This window comes from Homo sapiens, chromosome 4, assembly GCF_000001405.40.
Source record: "Homo sapiens chromosome 4, GRCh38.p14 Primary Assembly".
Lineage (NCBI taxonomy): Eukaryota > Metazoa > Chordata > Mammalia > Primates > Hominidae > Homo > Homo sapiens.
Genome location: NC_000004.12, coordinates 141,895,434 through 141,903,724, shown reverse-complemented (window position 1 = coordinate 141,903,724; position 8,291 = coordinate 141,895,434). Strand labels below are relative to the sequence as shown.

At 38.1% G+C, this 8,291-nt stretch overlaps 1 annotated feature.

Annotated features, from left to right (window-relative positions):
- Window positions 764-1,366: an enhancer, noted in NCBI's record as "OCT4-NANOG hESC enhancer chr4:142823512-142824114 (GRCh37/hg19 assembly coordinates)". NCBI's record gives its function as "activates a minimal SCP1, AML or CMV promoter by ChIP-STARR-seq in naive H9 embryonic stem cells {active_cell/tissue: H9 hESC(naive)}" and the evidence as "EXISTENCE:reporter gene assay evidence [ECO:0000049][PMID:30033119]".

Genomic DNA, 8,291 nt, shown 5'->3' with positions numbered 1-8,291 from the left:
TTATGGCTGTGGGTTAGAATTTAATAAATTTTTGTTTAACTCATACCCCACTCCTACTAAATTTTGTAGAATTCTATTTTAGACAGTTTAAAAATATATCCCTCAATTAAGTCAGAGGTGAGAAGAACACCCCGTTCTACCAAAGCATTGTAGAACTGTGCTTCAGGTTAGTTTTTATATGCCAGTTTTTATGCCAGGCCTTATACCACTGATCAACAGGTGAGGACATGTGAAACAGCCCTAGGAAACTGATTGCTGTATTTATTATGAGGATATTATTCATTATATTTTAAGGTGTCTTACTGTCGGGGCCAAGGGAATACTTCTTCTTTGCCCTGTAAAGTTTTGCTGAAAAGTCAACTCACAAAAGGCAGATTCGAGAAAAGGCATACACATTTATTAATATGCACATGGGGGAGAACCACAGAATGATTACCCAATCCCCCAGTGGGGTTCAGAAGCCTATATACCATCTTGAGTTTACCAAAAGAATGTGTGCTTGGATCCTTGCAAACCAGGCTATGGTGGCTGATATAGTTTGAACCTATGTCCCTTTCAAATCTTATGTTGATTTGTAATCCCCAATGTTGGGGGTGGGGCCTGGTGGAAGTATTTGGGTCATGGGGGCAGATCTCTCATGGCTTGGTGCTGTCCTCACAATAGTGAGTGAAATCTGGTGGTTTACATGTGTAAACCCTACTCTTCCTCTCTGTCTGTCTCTTTCTCTCTCTCCACTCCTCCTCTTGCCATATGCTGTGCCTGCTCAAGCTTCACCTTCCACCATGAGCGAAAGCTTCCTGAGGCATCCCGAGAAGCCGAGCAGATGCCGGCACCATGCTTCCTATACAACCTGCAGAACTGTGAGCCAATTTAACCTCTTTCCTTTATAAGCCACCCATTCTCAGGTTTTTTTTTTATAGTGACACAAGAACAGCCTAAGACAGTGGCAAAATAAGCTATGGGCTATGGGGGAGGGAGGGTGTTGGGGGAGAAGATGAGGCCTGGCTAGCAAAGGTGGTCTTGTTATGTAAATAAACTTCACAGGTAGCAGCCCTCAGAGAGAATAGATAGTAAATGTTTCTTTTAGATCTTTGAAGTAATTAGATTCTCAGTTAATCTTTCCTAGATCGGACAAGTGAAGGCCACAGAGAAAACCTGGCTGTATCAAGGTAGATTCTCTAGAGATGCAAATCCCTGCCTCTTCCGTTCCCCCAGGACAAAATACAGCTTTGCAAGGTTACTTCTGTTTGCAGGCTCTTGAAACAGCCACCTCAAAATACGTAAAAGAAATATATTTGGAGGTAAAATATTTTAATTTCCTTTACTACCCACAGGAACACATTCTCTCTGGTTTCAGTAACAAGAAGATAGTTCTCCTCATAAACTATATATATATATATATATATATATATATATATATACACACACACACACACATACACCTCTACATACAATATATATGTGTATATGTATATATATGTGTTTCACTCCATGCTTTCTCAGTACTAGTCTCATTCTTGGCTTCATCTTTCTTATCTTTTGTACTTAGTGATTTCCTATGTAAAGGTTTCCACATCTGTCATTTCTTGAATTTCTTGCAGCATATCTACTTTTATAATTTGTCTTACCTACATTATAGAAAAAAAAATCAGGCCTTTATACATGTAAAAAGATATCTACTATTGCTGGCTAAGAGCCTGTGCTTATTTTGTAAGGTATTGAATCACTGTGAACTATTTTCTTGGAGCAGACTGACATGGTTAGGTTTGCACTATAGAACGAGGGCTCTGGAAGCAGAGACAATGGAGAGAGGGAGATGGAGTTAATAATGTTCATCAAAATGTGGTCTGGATCCTGATATGGTTTGACTGCGTCCCCACTTAAACCTCATCTTGAATTGTAGCTCCCAAATCCCACGTGTCCTAGGAGGGACCTGGTGGGAGGTAACTGAACCCTGGAGGAGGAGTTTTCCCATGCTATTCTCATGATAGTAAATAAGTCTCATAAGATCTGATGGTTTTATAAAGGGGAATTGCCCTGCACACACCCTCTTACCTGCTGCCATCTAAGCATGTCTTGCTTCCCCTTCACCTTCCGCCATGATTGTGAGGCCTCTCAAGCCATGTGGAACTCGGAGTCAATTAAATCTCTTTCTCTTGTAGACTAATACAGCGATCCCTTGGTATTTGTTAAGAATGCATCTCTGTAGATAAGATCCAGGAATCTGCTCTTCAAATGACTGACAGTTTGTTGTCACCTGAGTTTGGGAACAACTGGAAGCCCTAGAGATGGTTTAGGAGACCCTTTCACTAAGCCAAGCAAACAATGATGACAGTAGTCTGAGTAAAGGAAGTAACCGTGAAAGTCAGGAAAACATTCCATTTGAGAAATAATTCTAAACTAATTGTTTTACCAAGTTCTTAGCCTTGCTCCTATTGAAATCAATGTCCTGGTCTATAGAATTTCTGAAATACTATGGCTAAATATAACGGCACGTCTAATAACAAAAGTTTTATCTAAAAGGAAACAGTTCAGCTCAACAGTTTCTCGAGTTTCTCCTTTCCTTCACTAAGGTCTGATCCCTGCCAGGTGGGGCCTTTGGCCTTTGATCTGGAAGCTTATCAGTTGCAGATGGCTCAGAGAAGCTGCTAAGATGTGAGACTGAACTGTCCTGAGAGGCAGCTGACTGTCAGATTTTTAGTTTCCACAAGAAACAATGTGACTATTTTCAGGACTGAACTGAACCAAGTCTTACCCGGGAAGCAATAGGGGATGCCTCAGGCAGTGGATGAATGAATTGTTTGTTTATCAGTCTCAGATTTGGAGGGAGATAAAGGCAGGATTCTGAAAGGACCTGCCAATTTTAATTCTAAAAGATCTCAGGTGTTTGCTCCTCAAAGCCAGTAAGAAATTTGAGAGATCACTCTCACTTCTGCCAGGCCCACAGGGAGATCCCTGAAGGATGCTGTTTATGAGTGACAGGCTTATTAGCAATGATGTGTTTTTCTTCTTGAGGTGCTCTTTCACAAGAAAAGATGTCCAAACAGGACTCTGACATCCACGCCCTTCTCTTTCTCCCCATATTTTATAAAAGTGCTTCCTACTTACCCAGATTTTTTATAAAATAAGTCTCACACTTCTATAGATTGAAGAAATGCCTGAATGAATGATATAAAGGCTATAATTTCTTCCTTTATCTTAAAATCCTTAAAACTGTAGTTGAGGAGGCAGGAAAAGGTGAAGAGACAGAGCACAGAGGAAGTTTAAGGCAGTGAAAATACTGTGTATGAGAATGGTGGCTACATGCCATAAAAATTTGCCCAAACCTATAGACTGTATAACACCAAGAGTGAACCCAATCCAGAACTATGGGCTCTGGATGATTATGATCTGTCCTCTTACCCAGTGGTTCTCAAACTTTAGCATGCATCATATTCTGCTGGAGAGCTTTTCAAATATAGAACACTGAGTCTCAAACTCAGTCAGACTGGAGTGGGGGCTTGAAAATTTTCATCTCTAACAAGTTTCAGATGATGCAAAAGTAGTCCACAATTTGAGGACCACTGCCACCTGATGAAGGGTTATCCAAAGTACATACTTAGAACAAGACCACACAGCTGACATGGGGGAAGGTGATACTAATACAAGGCTATGCTATACAAAGCTTTAAAAAAATAAAATCACAAGATTTATACTTATCTACAATGCAGGTACCATAAGGTAACCAAAATATAGTGTTCATTTCATTCTGATGGTGAGAAAAAAGTATTTCAATAGATAACTTTTTGGGTGAGGGTAACCAAAATCTCCTTGATGAATTACATTTGAGAAACAAGCTTTTATTTAATATTTGCTCACCAGAAAAGAATTCAAATCTGAGCTATAAAAAGAAAAAGAAGTAGAGAGAGTTTAGTAGAGACAATATTAGAAAACTTTTTGCCTGGAGGTAGAGTGTGGGCCTATTACCCTATAAAATTCTCTTTCAGCTGGAAACATGTATTTCCCAAGCTGACATGTTAGGCAATAAATCATTTTGTAAGAGGTTAGTATTGCCTAGAGACACTCTAAGATACCAGATTAATCAAAATTTAATTATGTCCCTCAGCTATCTTGGGTTTTTGTTTTATTTTGTAGTTGACTAGATCTTGGGTTCAAATCTAAGACTCTAGTGATTTACACATCTCTTACTACGAAGAGGTAAGTCAAGAAGTATTTGCCTATCAAAGCCAAGAGAATATTTTTGCAAAACACAAATCTGTCATTTCAAGGTACTTCCAACTCTATATGTGTGTCTGGTCAAAGACAAAAAGTGAACCGAAAAATGGAAGCAGACATGCCTGGCTGGAGGGAAAAGGTGTTATTTTTCCCATTGTTCCTCTTCTCAGCAGGAGAGATGTGAGGTTTGAATTTCAAATTAGTTTTACTGTCTGAAAGCAAGTATCAACATACAGTTCTGACCAAGGAAAGACAGGGATCCACATGTTAGTTGGGTGCCTAATGATATTACCTCAGAGGACTGTGCTCTTACATATTTTCATAGCAATCCTGTGAGATGATTATTACTATTTCCTTTTCACAGATAGGAAACTGAACCTCTGGAGGCTAGTAACTGCCTGGTGTCACCTGGAAAAAAGTGACAGAGGAGTAATTTGAGTCCAAGTCTATGTGGCTATAAATCCCTTGCTCTTGACATTATATACCATGCCCAAGATCTATCAAAAGCTCCATTTATTTCCCTGAAGAAGTGGGATTGAAATGTGCACAAGCAGTCTGCTTAAAGACAGCTACATCAACTCACCCTGCCCTACCTTCTTACTTGGAGGCCTCTCCTTCTCCTAGCTTCATGTTCTGATCTACATGGATTCTGGGAACTTCTTCACTGACATCTTCACGCAGATTTTGGCCTTTGTTTTTGCAGAAATGCAATAAAATGTTTTTGTTTTAATATTGCCAAAGTGAAACACAAAATATAAATGGCTTTGTGTCAGTGTCTGTTGCTACAAAGGAATACATGAGACTTAGTAATTTATAAAGAAAAGAAGTTTATTTTGCTCACAGTTTTGCAGGCTGTACATGAAGCAGAGTACCAGCATCTGCTTCCAGTGAGGGCCTAAGGAAGCTACGATCGTGGCAGAAGGTGAAAGGGAGCCAGCATGTCATATGGCAAGAGCAGGAGAGAGAGAGAAAGGAGGAAGTGCCAGGATCTTTTAAACAACCAGATCTCATGTCAACTCAGAGTGAGAACTCACTCATTACTCCCAGGATGGCACCAAGCCATTCATGAGGGATCAGCCCCATGACTCTAAAACCTCCCACCATGCCCCACTTCCAACATTGGGGACCACATTTCAAAATGAAATTTGCAGAGGACAAAGCATTCAAAACATATCAGGCTTACATAGGAATTTTTAAAATAGATGTGAGAAGCTGCAAGATAATTAAAAAAAAAAAAGATCTGAACTTTAAAATACAAAGTTAGCTCAGCAAAATTTTAAACGTGGGGGACAATGAGCAGAAAAGGAATGGGACATAGAATAAGAAGGAGAATAAAAGAGTAAAAGTATTCCCTGTTGAATTGTTAGTTTCTTCTTTTCATACGATACTAGAGAAATGTGTATAAATATTAGAAAAAATGCAAGCTTTGATAGAATAGAAAAATGCAGTAAAACTCTCATATAAGAAAAAAGGAGGTAAGAAGTAAATTGGTGAAACCGTTTTTTTTTATTTTTATAAGGGAACAAGAAAATAATAAAGCAAAATAAATAATACATATACAGCAAAATGTCAGTAATCAAATCAAATCAATTAAATTACATAAGTATTGCCTTTTAAAGTACAGAATGCAATATTAAGACTTTTTAAAAACTTTATGCTGTTTATAAAAACAAAGTATTAAAGCTGGGCTGACATTAAAAGACAATTAAAGAGTTATTATTCAAATGTAGCTGCGACCATATACACACACCCACACGCAGCCCCCACACACAAACATACACACTGACACCCATGTGCACATACACACCCACACACATGAGGGCACGTGCACACATGCACACATACATACAAGTAGTGGCTAGAAGTAATATACAGGAAGGAGTTTAAGGTTAAATTCACCCATCAGAATGAAGAATGACATTTTGTAATTTATTTTAAAAAGCAAAATTTTTTTTAAAAAATATAAATCTCAATGAGCCCTATACATATGTAAAATAAAAACCATGTAGGAGCAAAAAGAACTTATCAGAAATAGTAGATTTCAAGATATTTCCACAAGAATAGAACAGGCCTTATAAATCAGAAATGAATAATAATACTCGAATCTCAAATTTGATAAAGATATATAGAACTCTTGTATTTTGCTTACATCATTGAGCTTCTAAACATTGTGTTTACAAACCTAAACACAAAACCACCTTTCAATTTTAAAAAGTATAAGTCTTACAGATCAATTTTCTAATGTTGACCAGATATAAGGTTTATGAAGGTACTTTATTACATAAAAATTAGAAAATTAACTTTAAGATAGTGGTAAAACCAAAAAGTAATTTCAGTATAAAAATAGTATCTAAGAAATAATGGAAATGAGAAATGGCTATACAAAAATCTATTGGCCATATCAAAAGTTCTTCTCGGAGAAAAATACATAGTGTTAGACTTAAATATATTATTGAAGATAAAAGATTAAATATTAAAATAAAACTGGTACTTGTATCAGTCATGAGTTTTAGTGGGATTCAGAAAAATTTATAGGACCTAATCTAGAAAATAGAAAATAAATGTATCATAGGATGTGTGATGATTCATTTTATGTGTCAACCTGACTGGGCCACATGTTGCTCAAATATTTGGTCAGACATCATTCTGCGTGTTCTGTGAAAGTGTTTTTGGATGAAATTAACATTCAGATAAGTAGATGATCAAGTAAAGCGGGTTGCTCTCCCTAATGTGAGCGGGCCTCATCCAGTCAGTTGAAGGCCTGAAAAGAACAAAAGGCTAACCCTCCCCTGAGTAAGATACATTTCTTCTGTCTGACAGCCTTTAAGCTGCGACATTGGGGTTTTGTTCCTATTTTGAGACTCAGACCAAAACATTACTCTACCTCGGTCTCAAGCCTGCTAACCCTTTGTATGATGTATGAGATGATACCATCTGACCTCCTGGGGACTTCACATTTCCAATCCACCCTGCAGATTGTGGGACTTCATCTAATCCGTAGCCAAGTGAGCCAATTTCGTACGTATATATTCCATTGGCTCCATTTCTTTGTAGACCCCTGACTACAAATACAGTATGTCTGAGAATCTCCAGGAGATCCAGAGAATCAAGTTTGGAGGACACACGCCTCCAAACTTACAGCACTGGGTTCCTCCTATGAAACCCTGCTCACTCTGCCAAGAGGAAGCACCCAAGTTTGAGCCCCAAATCTTCCACCTGTCACTGCTGTGTCAAAAAGCTGATACCTCTGGTATAATGTACTTTACAAGTGCTATCTGAACCCAGTTTTGAAGTTGTGATTTAAAACTCTCATTTCCTTTCTTTGGGCAGTTCGCTAAGTCCCCACCCCAACCACTTCTCTTACAGGGCTCCCATATTCAGGGGCCACTAGACACACACACCAACCACCTCCCCATACTGGGGCACCACATCATGAGCTGCTAAATTCTCATATAGATAGATTATTCTAATCTGTGTGCTATGTCATCTACAGTATAGCTGCCTGCACCCTTGCAGGAAAGGAGCCTAGACAAACAAATTATAATTTCAATTTCTAATCTGAAGTGTCTTTTAAATTTAGAAACTTGCTAAATATAAGAGTGGTGCCAAAGGCACTAAGCAGATAAATAGAAAGGTAAATTTCTGTCTGGATACCCACCTTAAAATTTTAATGAGATAAAGTACAATATAATATACCAAAAGAAGGGAGGAAGAGGAAATTAATAAAATAAAACCTAAAGTTAATAAAACAGAAAAATAATAAGAATGACAAAACAGGATAAGGTAAAATAAATTTGAAAACTTAGAGAAAATAATTTCTTAGTAAGATTTAACTTACAACAAATATATTAATTAACATAGAAAAGATTGAAAATGTCATTACAGGCCGGGCGTGGTGGCTCACACCTGTAATCCCAGCACTTTGGGAGGCCAAGGCAGGTGGATCACAAGGTCAGGAGATCAAGACCATTCTGGCTAACACGGTGAAACCCCATCTGTACTAAAAAATACAAAAAAAATTAGCCGGGCATGGTGGTGGGTGCCTGTAGTCCCAGCTACTCTCCTCAGGAGGCTGA